This window comes from Homo sapiens, chromosome 16 (assembly GCF_000001405.40).
Source record: "Homo sapiens chromosome 16, GRCh38.p14 Primary Assembly".
In the NCBI taxonomy this organism is placed as follows: Eukaryota; Metazoa; Chordata; class Mammalia; order Primates; family Hominidae; genus Homo; species Homo sapiens.
This window is the reverse complement of record NC_000016.10, coordinates 55,332,034-55,349,191: the sequence shown is the minus strand read 5'-3', so window position 1 is coordinate 55,349,191 and position 17,158 is coordinate 55,332,034.

Here is a 17,158-nt window from a genome sequence, read left to right as displayed (position 1 = left end):
GGAAATGTTATTGTCATGACATGGTTTGAATGTAGACACAAATGTTATGTTTAAAATGTAAGTGTGCGATTGGCCTTCAGAAATATAGTTTTAAAATATTGGAGGCAGCCCAGTCTGGTGTTGGCAGCTTTCTAATAAGCAGCTCAATGATACCTGCATGACCCCATAAATAATAAGGACTGAAAGCCTCTACCCACAGCAGCTTGAGACAACAGAAGGTAAATAGGTCACAGCTTCTCCCATGACCAGCTGAACAATAATTTATTTTCTTTAGGAAATTCTCCAGTTGTTGGAACAACACCCCACCCCCCACCCTACCCCCACAGCTATTCAGACTGACCCTTGACTCGAGTGGTGCAGAGCTATAACTCCTTATAGTTCCTCTTTGCTCAGGGACCTCCCTTTCCTTTCCACTGGGTCTTGGGAGAGGTGACTTTTGTTTTACTTGTGTTTTTCACACTTGTGTTCTTTGTGTAAAGTGCACATGAAGACGAGGAGCCGGCTTCCAGTCCTCCCTATGGAACTGGTTGATACATACTTAATTAAACTGACCCACCATCTCTTTGGGATCACCCTTCTTTCTCTTTCTGCTTCCTCACAGAATGCCTTCCTTAGAAACCAAGGTCATAGTTAAAAGGGTGTTGGGCCTGGAAGGAAGTTTACAGACCATTTCATCCATCCCCACTGTAGAGGGTTGAATTTTATTTATTTTATTATTATTTTTAAGCTTTTTTTTACATGAATAAATTATTTAGTGGTGATTTCTGAGATTTTGGTGCACCTGTCACCTGAGCAATGTATACTGTACCGAATGTATAGTCTTTTATTCCTCACCCCTCCCACCCTTTCCCCAAGTTCCCAAAGTCCATTTATCATTCTAATGCCTTTGCATCCACATAGCTTAGCTCCCACTAATGAATGAGAACATATGATGTTTGATTTTCCATTCCTCAGTTACTTCACTTAGAATAATGGTCTCCAATTCCTTCCAGGTTGCTGGAATGCCATTATTTTGTTCCTTTTTATGACTGAGTAGTGTTCCATGGTGTGTGTGTGTGTGTATAATATATTAGGATTTGGGCATGTTTCAGGGAGATAAAATTCAACCCCCTATACATAATATATATGCATATTACAAATATATATGTAATATATATTTTATATGTAACATATATATATAATTTTATATATATATATAATTTTATATATATATATATATATATTATAGTGGGGTGAATTTTGTCTCCCTGAAACATGCCCAAATCCTAATCCCCAGTACATGTGTATGTGACATTATTTGGAAATGAGGTCTTTGCAGATGTGGTTAGGTTAAGGATCTCAAGATGAAATAATCCTGATTTAGGTTGGGTCATAAATCCAATGACTGATATTTTTATAAGAGACAGAAGAGAAGAAGGAGGAGAAGACTACTGAAGACAGAAGCAGTGACTGGAATGATGCTACCACAAGCCAAGGAAGCTGGAGGAGGCGAGGAAGATTGTCCTGCAGGAGTGTGCCCCTGCCAGCACCTTGATTTTGGACTTCTGGCCACCATGATGGTGAGACAGTAAATCTAAGACACCAAGTTTGTGATAATTTGTTACAGCAGCCCCAGGAAGCTAATACACCCTTCCATGTATGAAGGCTTGAAGAGGAAAGCACTTGGCCAGATTCTCCTAGGGGTTAGAGGTGACAGATCAGGGATTAGAATCCAATTCTCCTGACTCACAACAGTTACTTTTTCTGCATTGCCCCCTTTCATGAAGCCTTTCTCCAGCAGTCGGAAAGAGGTGTGGACTTGTGCCAACATCCAGTGCTCAGCACGTCTCCCACTCCTGCCCTAGAGTTCAGAACAGAAGCTGACCCATGGGTCACTGGCCACGCACTCAGTCCATTAATCAATGTCTTGTATCAGCCCCCTGCACAAGCACAGCGCTGGATTCAGTGGGGGATCCCGGGACAAACCTGCTATGGATCCCACACTGAGGAGTTTATGGCCTACTTGAGTTGGCGCAGAGTATGAGGATAGAATATGTTTGCAGAGCTGTAATTCAGGTAGAGTCATACATATTTAATTTATGCAAATGCACCAATATGAGTTTTTAGCTTGCGAGAACATCACCCATAGATGATGTGATTCCGTCAACTGTTCCACTCCGTGTGAGTGTTCCCTGGGGTAAATGATACAGGCAGATATGGATCTGCCCTTCTTTCAGTTGCCCTGAGTTATCTGTGTCTCTTGTGGTTTCATCAATCTGTCTGAGTAGGACTGTTGAGTTTAAAAATACCTATTTCTCTTACTATCGGCCCCCAACCAACCACATCATCCAGTACTCAACCAAAGAAATGGCAATCCGTTTCTTTATTAAAAATATTTTTGGCATTATTGGAATGTATTAGAACACATCACTTCCAAGGTGGCAGCTGGCTTCATAGGGGATTTTTGAGCATAAGTTGGCTTAAATGTCATCTTTATGTCCCCAAGGTCTCGTTATGATGTGACGTCACTGCGTAAACCCATAAACCGATTCCAGCATGAATATAGGTTATCCATGGTTAGTTATCCATTTTCACACTATGAGCCCTCAGGGACATTTTTTTCCATTCAGTAACTATATGGATGGCTCTCCTTCTCCTCACTCCTTTACATTCTACTGTGGATCATCTCTGTTTACAACTCTCCGCTCCTCTTTCTCACCAGATTCCAAGCTCTTTGAGGACAAGCTCCACATCTGGTTCATTCTTCTTTTGCCCATGGTGCCTGGCACAGTGTGGAGCTTCCAGGAGGTGATGAATAACTGTATGTACAAAGAACAGATGCTTATACTTAAATCCATGTTTTAGAGCATCTGGCCAGTCTTACCCACTCTCTGAGGAATGTAACATTATAAAAAACAGTTAAGAGACAACCTGGCCAGGTGTGGTGGCTCACGCCTTTAATCCCAACACTTTGGGAGGCCAAGGCAGGTGGATCTCTTGAGCCCAGGAGTTTGAGACCAGCCTGGGAAATGTGGTGAGACCCCATCTCTACAAAAAACACAAAAATTGGTTGGACGTGGTGGCATATGCCTGTAGTCCCAGCTACTTGGGAGGCTGAGGCGGGAGGATAGCTTGAGCCCAGGAGGCAGAGGTTGCAGTGAGCCAGGATCACATGACAGAGAGAGACCCTATCTCAAAAAAAAAAAAAAAAAAAAAAAAAGACAACTTACAGCATGGGAGAAAATATTTAGAACATAGAGCAGAGGATTCCTATTAAGACTACAAAAAAGATTCTACCAATTAATGAGAGAAACAAGTACCCAGTTTAAAAATAATGGGCAAAGGACATAGGGACAGGTAATTCATGAAAGAGGAAAACATATTCAATGTCACTAGGAATGAGGAAACTGGAACCAAAACAAAATTGAGACACCCCTGCATACTCATTTTCTGGCCCATCTAACACCAGCGAATATCAAGTACCAGCAGACAGGGGAAAATATGTAGTCTCATATATTGCTGGAGAGAATGTAGCTAGATCGGGACACTTTAGGAGCACTGTAACTTATTAAATGTTTGAAAGTGCATTCCTATGTCCCTACTTTTCAAATCTACCCTAAGTAAACACATTTGCCTGTATGCCCAAGAAGGCATATACTAAGATGTTCAATTTTGCAGTGCTTATAAAAATTAAATTTGAAGGGAAAAATTGTAATGAGTATACATTGAAAACAAGTATATAAATATATAAATGTATATAATATAATAAATAAACAACTCTAAAAATACATGAATAATATATACACATCAATACAGAGGGGTCTAAATATACCATGAGAAACTCATGCTTTGGATCACAAACGGCACTGGAGAGGGATGAGTTACATTTCTGTTTACCAACAGATTTAATTATCCCAGGAGGTTGACATCATTTATGAAAGAAATACACAAAGAATAATGCTATCTCTACATATTTGTATGGATATATATATATATATATATTTTTTTTTTTTTTGAGATGGAGTCTCACTCTGTTGCCCAGGCTGGAGTGCAGTGGCACGATCTTGGCTCACTGTAACTTCTGCCTCCAGGGTTCAAGGGATTCTCCTGCCCAGCCTCCTGAGTAACTGGGACTACAGGCATCTGCCACCACTCCTGGCTAATTTTTGTATTTTTGGTAGAGACGGGGTTTTGCCGTGTTGGACAGGGTGGTTTTGAACTCCTGACCTCAAGTGATCCACCCACCTCAGCCTCCCAAAGTGCTGGGATGACAGGCATGAGCCACCATGCCAGGCCGATTTATATATATTTTTGTAATGCAAAGAAAGGAGTTAGAAAGCAACACACCAAACTGATAAAAGTGCTTACCTCTGTGGAAGAAGAGACCAGAATTCTTTTTGAGGGGAAAAGGGGTCAAAGAAGGATTTTGGTAGAGGCTGGCTGGCTGGTCCCCACATGTGCTTCCTCTTCTTTCTGGTAACCAAGCTAGGCAGCATTTCCCAGCTTCTCTTGCAGGTAAGTTGTGGTCATGTGAGCCAGTTGCAGGCCTGGCTCATAATAACCTTGCACATGCAACCCTCTGGGCCTTTTCCTTCCTGGGTGACTTTGGAAGTTATGTGCTGAAAATGGTGAAGTCACAGAACAGATGGAAGATTCCTGGAGAGAGAAGCTGCCTATGGACCAGAAACACTGGAATGGGCTTCATATGATCAAGAAATAGACTTCTATGCTGTTAAATCACTGAGACTGTGTTGTCTCTGTGCTAGGAACTAGCTTTGCCCAAACGAACACTGGAATTTAAGTGTTGATTGAGGTGTTTTTACTTTTTTAATAAGGAGAATGCATTCATGTATCACATGCAATTAAATAAAAATTTACAAAGAAAGATCGAGTGAGCCCTGAGCCCAAACCCTATCTTAAGACAGCAAAGTGCTCAAAATTCTATGTGAGTGACAGTGGATGCCTATTCTGGGTATCTGAAGCTCTGGGTGGGGTCCTGCTATGCACCACTCAGAGAAATGCACCCTCCCTTCTTGTAGAAGAGCATGAGAATAGAGTCAAAAGGTCTGAATAGCAATCCTAACTCCTGATTCCACCACCTATGGAAGCTTGAGCAAATCGCTTTACTTCCATGGGCCTCAGCTTCCTCACCTGTAAAAAAGGCAAACTGTTTAGGACAGGTTCCCCGGGAAGCAGACTCTGAGACTCCGAGGTGTGTCAGGTGAGCGCTCCTGACCTGTGAGGGGTGAAGGAAGCAGAACTTTGCAGAGGGAAAAGTTGAATTTGGGGCACAGTTGGAACAAAGACCTCAGCTGATTCCACAGGGAGCTGGGATGGACTTGTAGAGTTGTCTCTAATTGGGGCAAGGCAGGCAAGCCTTTGTAATTGCTCCCAAATAGACCAGGTTTTGGATGCAGGCTTCCCTGGGGAGGGACTTGACCCTGAGAGAGCTATCTGCAGTCAACACTCCCAGCAACTGTGGAGAGGGGTGCCTTAGTCCTGAGGAGGGCATCTGGACAATGCACCCCAGCTTTCACCACATACACCAATTCCTACATCCCAAGGCTGGGGAGAAAACCAACTAAGACCTTGAATTTGAAAGAGCTTTGTCTATTAAAAAGATCTTCCTTATATGAGATGATTTAAACATATATCAGACACTCACCAAAACAAATAGTGTGTTTATGGGGTTGTATGTTGTACCCCATAAATATATCAAATTATTATTTGTCAATTAAAAGTAAATAATTTTTTAAAGTTTTAAAAAATGCTTTTATATATGTATATGTATATATCAAAAAGAATAATACTGTTATTAATATTCTACATGATTCTCTCCCCTCCTTCCCTCTCTCTCTCTGGTTCATGTATATCACTGAATTCAATTTCCTAATATTGATGTAGGGCTTTTGCATCAGTGTTTACAAGGAAGATTTTCCTATAATTTTCCTTTCTTGTAAAGTCTGTGTGGGGCTTTTATATGAAAGATATGGGGGAAGAAAAGCTATACAGAAATACAAATAGAGGAAGGTCAGGTGGATTTTCTTTTTCTTGCCCTTGAAGGGGTGTGAGTACCTCCCAGGGGAAATGAAACCCCAAACCACTAAGTACAGAGGGGTCCCGAAGCAGAGGTGGGTTCAAATCCGCCTGATCCGGCATTTTCTCTGTGTGTGTCCATTTAGTAGTGATGAATGGAAGGATGGTGCTAAATTGTTAGTGCCTCCTCTGATGGTCTGAAATTAACAGAGACCTGGCATATGTCAGAAAGGTGAGGGCCAGGGTCATTTCAGGGTGAAGTTAAGGGAAATGGACTCCAGATGATCGTTCATGCTGTGACCCCCATCTGTTTGATTGTGTTGAACCCTAAGAGTGAAATCACTGCTGTTTGAATTCAAAGCTGAAGCTGTGGTGCATCGTTAGGGATCTGAGTACTTTAGCCACCAAGCCGCAGGTTCTAGAAACGCTAGGCTGGAGGAAGTATATCTATGTCTTCACGATTCTGTGAAGTGTTTCGTAGACTTGCAGTATTTTATAAATGTTGAGTTTGGCCCATATGTTTTTATGTCTTGCTCATGGAACTTGGCAACTTACAGAAAGGATTACTTTAGCTGGGGAGTGGGGTGATAAGAAGCTGCTTATTGGTTCCACTACTAATTAATTGACTAATTAGTTTTTTTATTACAAAAATGGTGACAGGTTCTATGTTGACCAGGCTGGTCTTGAACTCCCGGCCTCAAGCGATCCTCCCACCTTGGCTTTCCACAGAGTTCCAAAGTGTTCCAAAGTGATTACAGGTGTGAGCCACCACTCCCGGCTACCTCATTGATTCTAGAGGCAACTTTCCCCAAAAAGAGACCAGTGCTTTCCAGGGGACTTGGATATGATCCTTTGGAATATGAGACAAAAATATTAGAACTTCTTATTTTCTATCTTTTTTTAAAAATGAATATTTTGTATGTATTTATATTGTATATATATTATGTTATAGTATATGCCTTTAATTTATAAATAAACACACACCCATGTTTGGGGTGCCCCTTTGAAAAAAAATTTTATAGTAATAGATATTTCTGGTTTAAAGAATAGGACCTTTTAGGGGATCACTGATGCCCTCTTTAAGAATTTGACGAAAACTAAGGATATACTCTCTCGAGAATACTGCACACATATGGAAGGTTCTGCAAACCATTTTAGGGGACACTGAAGATTTCTCTGAGATTTCTCTGAATGTCAGGGAAAGAGTGCTTGTTTTCAAGTGTCCTCACTCAGGGATTATTCTAGCATATCTTTAGGGCACTCCAGCGTCTGTTCACCCAGCAAGGACCTCAGTTACGGAACCTGGCAGTCAGCATGAAGGGCATCTTATGTTCCTTCTATCTGGTGCCTTCCTGAGCCAAAAGTGCTGGACCCAAAATAATCGGCCATCTCCTATCACCCACCCAACAGGACAGCCCCAGTGGGTGCAGAAATCCTTTTTATTCATCCCCCATTATTCATATTTGTACACACACACACACACACACACACACACACACATGCAGATTTATTATGTATTTTTATTATAAAGCTAAATCTTGCAGAAAATTTGGAAGGTTAGAAATGTATGAACCAGAACAATTAAAATACCCATACTCTTACCTTCCAGAGATAACCACTGTTTTCATTTTGGCAAAAGACTTTGAAATCCACTCTCCTATGCATCTTTGCACCTATGGAAGGATTATTTTTATTGTTGATTAAAAGGAGGTCCATCTTCTGAGTTTACCCTAAAATATCCCTGCTTGCGTTTTAAAAAAATAATTCCAGCTCCCTTATTGATTTTTTTAAAAAAGATTTTTTCTTGAACAAGAACGAGACAGATAATTGTGTTTTAGTATATCTAGCCAAAAATAAACAAATACATAAATATTGAGGTTCCCAGGATCTTGAACTCAAGGCAGAAATTTGGGCCCTTTCTTATTCACATCCTTTCAGTTATTCTCCAATTTTCTGTAAAACTCCTCTTCCCTTGAAGGTCCTTTTCCTCTTTTCCTTTTCTGACCTCGCCTCCTCTCCCGCATCCATTCACTTTTTCAACATACGTTTCTTGGGTAACCACTTTGCATCAGTCACTGAGCTTGCTGCAGGAAAACAGACTCAACCTCACTCCTAACTTACCCTTTTTCTATTTCTTTTCTTTTTATTTTTTGTCCCAGTTGCTCTGTCTTGTTAACATACACTTGCAGGCATTTATTTTTTTCTTTGTAACTTACACCTCTAGAAACATCCCCAAATGCAGGTGGCTTCTCTGACAGTCAGTATTCCATAAACCATCAGATCCATGAAAGAAGCCTCTCTCTGCTGAATTTATGGATTGGCAAAGCCATTTCATAAAAAATGATTAATGATAATTAACATTTTAACTTTGGGCCATTTAATGGCACCTCACAAAAGGGTCAAGTGAATCTCATGGGTGTCATATGTCAAATGTCACAGTTACATGATGGGGCTGAACAGTAGCTAAGAATTCAATGAAGAGAATGTGTGGGGAACTGCAAATGAAACTTCTACACCCATTCCCAGGGGGCTGCTTCTCCTTTGCCCCTAGTCAAATTAGACACCCCAAATTAGAAGTATGTGGGCTTCGGTTTGAATGTATGTTTGAGCATTCAGTTTTGTAAAATATGTAATGGTGCCCTACTCCTTCTGCCTCATGTGTTCAATACTTAAATGCTGTACATTAAGAAAAGTCTAATGAATTCCCAGCATTAGCAACTAAAAGTTGAACTTTTCAGCCTTGCTTACTCTATAACTTGCTCCTTAAACTTACCCTTTGTTGGCTCTGAGCTGATTCCCTCAATGCCCATCCATCCTCATGTCCTCATTTCACTTCCTCACCCCAATCCAGGTCCCACTTCTGCTTCTCTCCCACTTGTTCTTTCCCCTGTCCTCTTCTCCTTGAAAGTTTACAGATCACCATTCAGCAATGCTCTTCCTGGCTCTAACCAGCACTCAGGAACCCTCTTCCAGAGGGAAGCCCCACCTTTGCTCTGCCCTAACCTCACAGATGGGACCCAAACACAAACTACCATCAACACAAAGTTGAGCATCAAGTGAGACCAAGAATCGATGTGTTTCAGAAATGGAAGGTTGGAATCTCTCTGGGAACTAATTAGATGAATGATCAAGGACTAGGCAAGATGGTGGACGCCATGTAATAGATCTGGATCCATGGGCAATGAGAGTTTGATATTGAGATAATAGATGATAATGAAAAGGAACAGATTCTTGGTGAGGGAGGAGGACATTTCTCAAGAAAGAGAAAATTGTCTTAGCAAAACAATGGTTTGGTCAGAAAGTGACACCGCATGCCCAGATTCCAGCATCTGGGGAGTAGCCCTTTGCTGACAAAATTGGGACCTCACAGTGAGGTGACACAGGAGATACTTGGGACTATAGTCTATGTCATGACCTTAGCAAGAAAGTAGATGGCAAGCTGAGGCTGTTTTTCACTTCTCCAAGGAGCCCCACCTCAGTTGAGGAAGTTAATACACTCCTAACCAACATTTATTGAGTATGTGTGTCAGTCCCTGAGATGAACACTTAACATTGACCAGCTGATTTCATCTTCACCACCACCCCATGAGCTAAGTTCTAGTTTTATCGTATCTTATATAGGAAGACACTGAGGCTCAGAGAGATTAGGGAACTTGCTCACTGCCACCCAAGTACTAAGTGGTGAAGCCAGAACATGGTCCCAGCTTGGTCTGACTTTATCCACATCCCTAATCACACTACCAAGCTCCTGACCATTTGAGTGTGTCATGGTGGCTAAGCAGTAAGAAAAGGACAGATGTAAATAGTGGGTGTTCATGAACATTTATTTAAAAAATGTAAAGGGGGATCTATTTAAAGAAAAATATGAGGTAAAAATAATACAAGTTTGGATTGGCCTAAATCTTGAAGGTGAAGTGAAAACTACCAGAGGCTGGTAAGCTCTGAAATTGCACATAGCAGGCCTCAGGAAACAGTGCTATTGGGTATGTTTAAGGAGCAACAGAGAATAATGAGGAGTTTCTAGCATATTAAAACAATTCCCTACTGTTAGACCGAGTAAGCGTCCCCATGTACCGCAGCTATTCTGACCTTGTGTTGCTTGCCAATGTCAATAGCTGTTGTCACCAGTGGATGGGCCTTCCGTTTGGTACTTAGAGATTCTCTTTATGCACTTAAAAGGCATCATTAGTACCAAGTGGCTATTAAAGCAGTCTTGCTGTTCAGAATGATTTTCTGAAGCAAATGCAGAGGAAACGTGTTGAGGGTTGAAGTCATTAGCTGTGACCACAGAAGGACTGACGGTGGGCAATTGTGCCATTAATCTTGATAAGGGGAAGTGTGAACAATTCATAAAATTTGCTTGGTGAGGTAGTTCCCTAAATGGACACTGGAGTGAACGACCCCATGTCTTTGCTCTAGGTAAGAGGGACACGTGTGAGCTGTGACCTCAACTTGGCATGAGTGGTGGGGACCCAGTAGTGACTTCAGGCCTTGCTGGAGAGGCAGGCCTGTGGCAAGACTGGCTGGAGTATAGGAGTAGGAAGGCAGTTACAGCTGACATTTTATGTAATCCTTACTGTCGGCCAGACATAGTTCTCGTGCTTTAGATATGAACTGTTTAATCTTCACAGCAGTGCTGTGAGGTAGGTACTATGATTATTCCCATTTTAGAGATGAGAAAACTGAGGTCTAGAGAGGATATGCCACTTGCCTGAGGATGCACAGCTAGTAAATGGCAGAGCTGGGATTCGAACCCAGGTGGTTTGGATTCAGGGACTGTGTGTTTACTACTTTGCTATACAGCATCTTGGAGTGGGTGTGCTTCTTCTGCCTTCACATGGGCTTTGGGCTTACACAGATCCGTATTTGAACCCCAACTCTGCCACTTCCCAGTTGTTGGACCTTTGACAAGTGACCTCGCTTACTTAAAACTCAGTTTCAGCTGGGCGCAGTGGCTCACGCCTGTAATCCCAGCACTTTGGGAGGCTGAGGCGGGTGGATCACAAGGTCAAGATATCCAGACCATCCTGGCCAACATGATGAAACCTCGTCTCTACTAAAAATACAAAAATTAGCTGGACGTGGTGGTGTGTGCCTGTAGTCCCAGCTACTTGGGAGGCTGAGGCAGGAGAATTGCTTGAACCCGGGAGGCAGAGATCACAGTGAGCCGAAATCATGCCACTGCATTCCAGCCTGGTGACAGAGCGAGACTCTGTCTCAAAAAAAAAAAAAAAAAAGACTCAGTTTCTACATTTTTCTACATTTGTAGAGAGGAGAGTTTTTATGAAATTATGTGAAGTGTCGGGCAATTAACAGTGCTTGAACACATATCACTGCCCTCTTCTTCCACACTGAAGGTACAGATCCTGCACTTGCCAGGCCAGGACACTGAAGGGGGAAAGTGGATGGACAGAAGGATGCTGCCTCAACCACAACCTCCATGGCGAGGGGCCAGCTTAGACCACTGGCCAGAAAGACAGTGCCCTCTTCCCTGTCACCTGCTTCCTAACTGGCCTCTTCCATTTGGGTTCTAGATCAGTCTAATATGGACTGGATATTTGTGTCTGCCTAAAATTCGTATGTTGAAGCCCTAACCCCTAATGTGACTGTATTTGGAGAAAGAGCCTATTAAGAGATGACAACGGTTAAATGAAGTAATCAAGGTAGGGCTGTGATCTAATAGAGCCAGCTCCCTTAGAAGAAGAGCCAGAGACACCAGGGCTCTGTGTCTCCTCCATGTGAGCACGTAGCTGTCACAAGCTGTCCACAGTCCACAAAGTGGCTGTCCACAAGCCAGGAAGAAAGCCCTTACCAGGAACTGAATCAGCTAGTACCTTGATCTGGGACTTCCCAGGCTCCAGAACTGTGAGAAAATAAATGTTTGTTGTTTAAGCCACCCAGCCTGTGGTGCTTTATTATGACAGCCTGAGTTGAGACATTGTATTGTGATCCCATGTTGAATGGGAGAGTAAAGTCTGGAAGTGCATTCAAAACTTGACTTTCACCAGTAATCCAAATCTGGTAAAGATGGCTATAAATTCTTTGCTACTCCCGCCGTGGAGCAATAGAGTCAAATTCCCCTCGTCTTGAATCTGGATAGGCTCTAGTGACTTGTTTGACCAAAAGAATACCATAGAAGTGGTGTTCTGGGACTTCTGAGGATGCGTCAGAAGAAGCCTTGCAACTTTCATCTCGACCTTTGGGGATACTTGCTGTTGAAACACAGCCTGCCATCACATGAGAAAACTCAAGTAATCCAAGGAAAGCCTTGTAGGGGGTGAAACCAGGATCCTCCTTGGAAATGGATCCTCTAGCTCCAATAGAGCCACCTCTTCTAATAGCACATGGAGCAGAAACAAATCCCTCCTACTGAGCCCTACCCAAATTACAGATTCTTTAGAAATGCCAATGATTATTGTAGGTTCTTTCAGCCATTATGCTTAGGGGTGATTTTCCATTGCAATAAATAACTGGAACTTCAAGAAATACTTCCAGAACACCTCTACCTCTGCTCAAAGCCACCTCTGAATAGCCCCAGGGCTGAATTTGTTGGCTTATGTGCTGAGGATCTCCTGTGTGGGGGAGTCTCCTCCCATCACCTGAGATAGGTGACAGAGCTGAAAAATGCCTCTCCTGGCTAAACACAGGCCTTGAATGTCCAGGGTTACGTTCAGTTTTGAGCTCCTCACAAGCCATGTTGTAAATTGTGAATATTAGACCCCATTTTACCATGGGGGGAACATGGAATGCATAGGGCTAAGGGAGAAGCCACAGGCTTTTAGACTTTCAGTCTTCCAATTTCCTCTCCACCCCTCTGCCCATCCACAGCTTCTTGAAAATGCTGAGCCTGGAAAGAGAAACAGCCTGGTTGTAGTTCACTGGTTCTCAACCTTAGGTGCACATCAGAATCACTTGGGAGCTTTAAAAAATACTGCTGGGCCCATGCCTAAAGATGGGGTTTAGTTGGTCTACTAACAATTTGCCACTGACAATGTGAGCTGGTCTTGACATTAAATAATGCTGAATCTCAGAATAACCTAAATTATTCCCTTTTCAAGTCTCCTCCAATCCTCTGATTACAAAAAAGAAGTCTCTGTTTGGTGCTAACTTGTCTTTAACAACTCTCCAACTCTTGCTATCAACCAAAATTTGGATTTTTGGATATTTGTCTGCACCCAAGTCTCTTGTTGACATGTAATCCCCAATTTTGAGGTGGGGCCTGGTGGGAGGTGATTGGATCATGGGGACAAATCTCTCATGAACAGCTTGGGCCATCTCCTTGGTGAGGAGTGGGCTCTTGCTCTGAGTTCACATGAGTGTGTGGGCACCTTCTCCTTCATTCATTCTCTCTTGCTCCTGCTTTTGCCATGTGACGTGCCTGCTGCCCCTTTGCCTTCCAACATGATTGTAAGCTTCCTGAGGCCTCCCTAGAAGCTGAGTAGATAGATGCCAGCACCATGCTTCCTATAAAGCCTGCAGAACCATGAGCCGTTTAAACATCTTTTCTTTATAAATTACCCAGTCTCAGGTATTTCTTTATAGTGCTGCAAGAATGGGCTAACACATCCCCACAGCAGCCAGGTGAGAAAACCATAGAATTTATAAAAGAGGCACATTGCAACCTACCAGGAGAATGCTGAGTCTCAGAGACATTTGGTGACTTGCCCAAGGACTCAGGCCATTGGTCCTCCTTTTCCCCCTGCCCCAACTTAACATTTAATGAAGAAAATTATGCCAATAGAGGGGACCTCTGCCATATAATCAGTAGAGGCCCATTAGACTCCATTCCTTTTTTTTTTTTTTTTTTTTTTTGAGAAAGGGACTCACTATGTTGCTCAGGCTGGAGTGCAGTGACACGATCATGGCTCACTGCAGCTTCAACATCCTGGGCTCAAGCAAACCTCCTACCTCAGCTTCCTGAGTAGCTGGGACCACAGATGCATGCCATCACACCCAATTTTTGTATTTTTTATAGATACAGGGCTTCATCATGTTGCCCAAGCTGGTCTCAAACTCCTGAGCTCAAGCGACTGCCAGGCTCTGCCTCCCAAAGTGCTGGGACTATAGGTGTGAGCCACTGTGCCTGGCTCATTTCTTACTCTGATCCCAGAGTAAAGACAAAACAAGTCCCACTGAGGGTGGGGAGAGGAGGCATGGAAAGGAGGAGAAAGAATGAATTATGGAGAAGATTAAGACCTTTTAGTTTAGAAGGCAACTTTCAAAAGTTACTTGCAGAAGGAAATGGGTTCAAAAAAGAAAGAATTTTCTAATACCAAGGTTGCAAGTGGCTGCGCCAGGAGACAGCCACGGTGGAAAGGCCCAGCCCTCAACGGTTCTTTCTTTCACTTAAGATAGTCTTTCTTTCCTTCTGTACACATTTCTCCAATGTGTACAGATTCTTGACTGCATGCTCATGTTTGGGGACAGAATTCTCTTGCACACCACGGTACATGCTACTACTCAGGTGCTTCCAAACCTGAACTTCTAAATCATCTTCAGGCAGCTGGGACATGCAAGTTAGCCTCCTAGTTCTCCTACTCGCCCTCCAATAAGTACACATCTTTGAGCTTCTGGATGGGGAAAAAAGAGCTGAACTAGATGAGGAGATTGAATGGGAATCCAGATTAAATCTTGCAGGAAATGTGTGCACCTGTTACTGGGATGTGATTTACTCTTGGCCAACAGCAGGTGTCCTAAGCCCTCCTGTTGAGCTTAGAGTCTGGCCACTCGAGGTTCATCCACCACTATGCAGATCAGAGGCCCATCGGGCCACCTGGGGTGCTTGTTAACAAGACAGAACTCTCAGCCCACATCCTAGTGTGATTCTTTAATCTTTAGCTGATTTTGATGGTAGAATCCATGGGCTACATTTTGCCAAACACTGACCAGGGGTGTCTCAGACAGTGTGTACCCAGGAAATGTGGGCAATGGGATAGGTAGAGATGTTCTTGGCCAGGATGCAGGGGGTGGGTCCAGGAGATACCACAAGTTTTTTCCCATTGGACATTTCGGAGACGGAAGGAGGTCAACCTAGGAGTCCAGGGCATGAAATAATAGACTCTAGACATTTAGAGTCTCAGAAATAGATGGTCTTGTTAATAATTAAATAAAGAAATCATAAAATAATAGAATACATTGTAGTAGAACTTAGTGGTTAAAGAATCAGTCTTGCATAGAGCCTGCCTCTTTACTTAGTAGCTGGATAACTGACGTCAAGTTACTTAACTTCTCTGAGCCTATTTCCTCATTCGTTAGTGGGGCATACTGTTAGGTGTAATATAGTTACTTAACCTCTCTGAGCCTATTTCCTCATTCATTAGTGGGGCATACTGTTAGGTGTAATATAATATGTCTTTGGACTATTGTGACATATGAGTCAGCACATTTAAAAGAGCTGGTGCAAGAGACTAAATGTGTGTGTCCTCCCAAAATGTATATGTTGAAATCTAATCTGCAGTGTGATGGTATCTGGAGCTGAGGACTTTGGGAGATAATTAGGTCATGAACTTGAAGCCTTCGTGAATGGGATTAGTGACCTTATAAAAAAGACTTCAGAGGGTTCTCTTGCCCCTTCTATGGCATGATGATGCAGTAAGATGCTGTCTATGAACCGGGAAGCAGACCCTCACCAGATGCTGAACGTGCTGGCACCGTGGACTTCTCAGCCTCCAGAAATGTAAGCAACACCTTTCTGTTTTTTATGAGACACTCAATTTATGGTACTCTGTAAAATAGCAGTCCAAACAGACTAAGACACATGGCATTGAGTCTGACACATGGTAAGGGCTCTAGAAGTTCTTATTATCATTAACAGGATCATAGAATCTTAAAACTAGAAGTGATCACAGAGATCATCTAGTGAATCCAGTGTCCATCTAGTGACACTGGCAGGAAAGAGATAAGGAAGACACTGGGTGTGCTGGGGGTGGGGGGGAGCTCCCCTGGGTGGCTTCTCCTCACCTCCAGAGGGCCTAGCCCCTGGTTGCTGTGCAGCTGAGGGAAGGGCCACTTTAGCCATAGAAGGAGTTTGGAGGTCCAGCTTGTATACATCCTACAAACCTGAGAACCTCAACTTTCTGCATTTACCAACATTTACTTTGCAGAGTTCACAGTCCAGCTGTCTGTGGGCACCAGCAGGCTCAGCCAAAGAGAGCAGGGCTGCATCCTCCCTCCCCTTGCTCTGGTGTTTAATCAAGACAGTATTCAAAATATGATTCTGGGAGATTATATTGGGAGATTTGCAGGAGGCTCTCGGGGGGGCAGAGATGGGGGGAACAGACTGCCACTGGGGGCTTGAGGCTGGGATAATCACAGGCTCAGACGTGCCATTCTCAGGCCCTTCTCCTAGACCCCTGGAGCTCACCATCAGCTCTGGAGGAGATACTGAGCAGCAGGATGGAGAACTAGATCATCCCTGTATTTTACAGTGGCAGAACTAGGAGGGGAAGGGGCTTGTCCAAGCCACAAAACAAGGTGGTAACACAATTGAGAAGGTAAAGCAGGTTTCTGGGATGCCAGGCTGCCCTTCAGCCCCTCTCACGCCCCACTGTCTCCAGCCAACTAGGATCAGACCTTTGAGATAACCCTAGGCTGCAGGCTCCTGCTTTGGGCTGGGGAAGGCAGGGAAAGGCTAGGCCACCCAGGCAAGAGATGTTTCTTGCAGCTGGAGAGACAACTTCCTGGGGTCCTGGGTGGTGAAGTAGGGCAACTCGGGAAGGCCTCCTTTCCCAGGTTAGAGCTGAACTGCAGGAGGTCGTGTGAAGGTGAGATTCCCCCTAACCCCCACCCTCTGGATCCCAGACCCTGCTCAGCCACATGAACTGAGTTTAGTGGGGTCCCTTCTCCAATCTGATCTTCAGCTTCCCATCTCCAAGTGTTGACTCTCTGATTCTAAGGATCCCTCTCCCCTCCAGGAAATGGCTCTCTAGGGCCCTACTCTCAACTGGAAGCCCTAGGACGCCTCTGCCACCTCTGCGGTCTCCGGAGGGGTCTACCTGGCCCCCTAGTAGGGGGTGGGGTCGAGAGTGCCTTGAAAGAAACCTCCAGCTAATGCTCTTTATTACAAGCGTTAATCCCGCAAAGCCGACTGGAAATAATGTTTATCTTTTCGCAGTTTAATTTTCCGGACCCTAAGCCGCGGGTC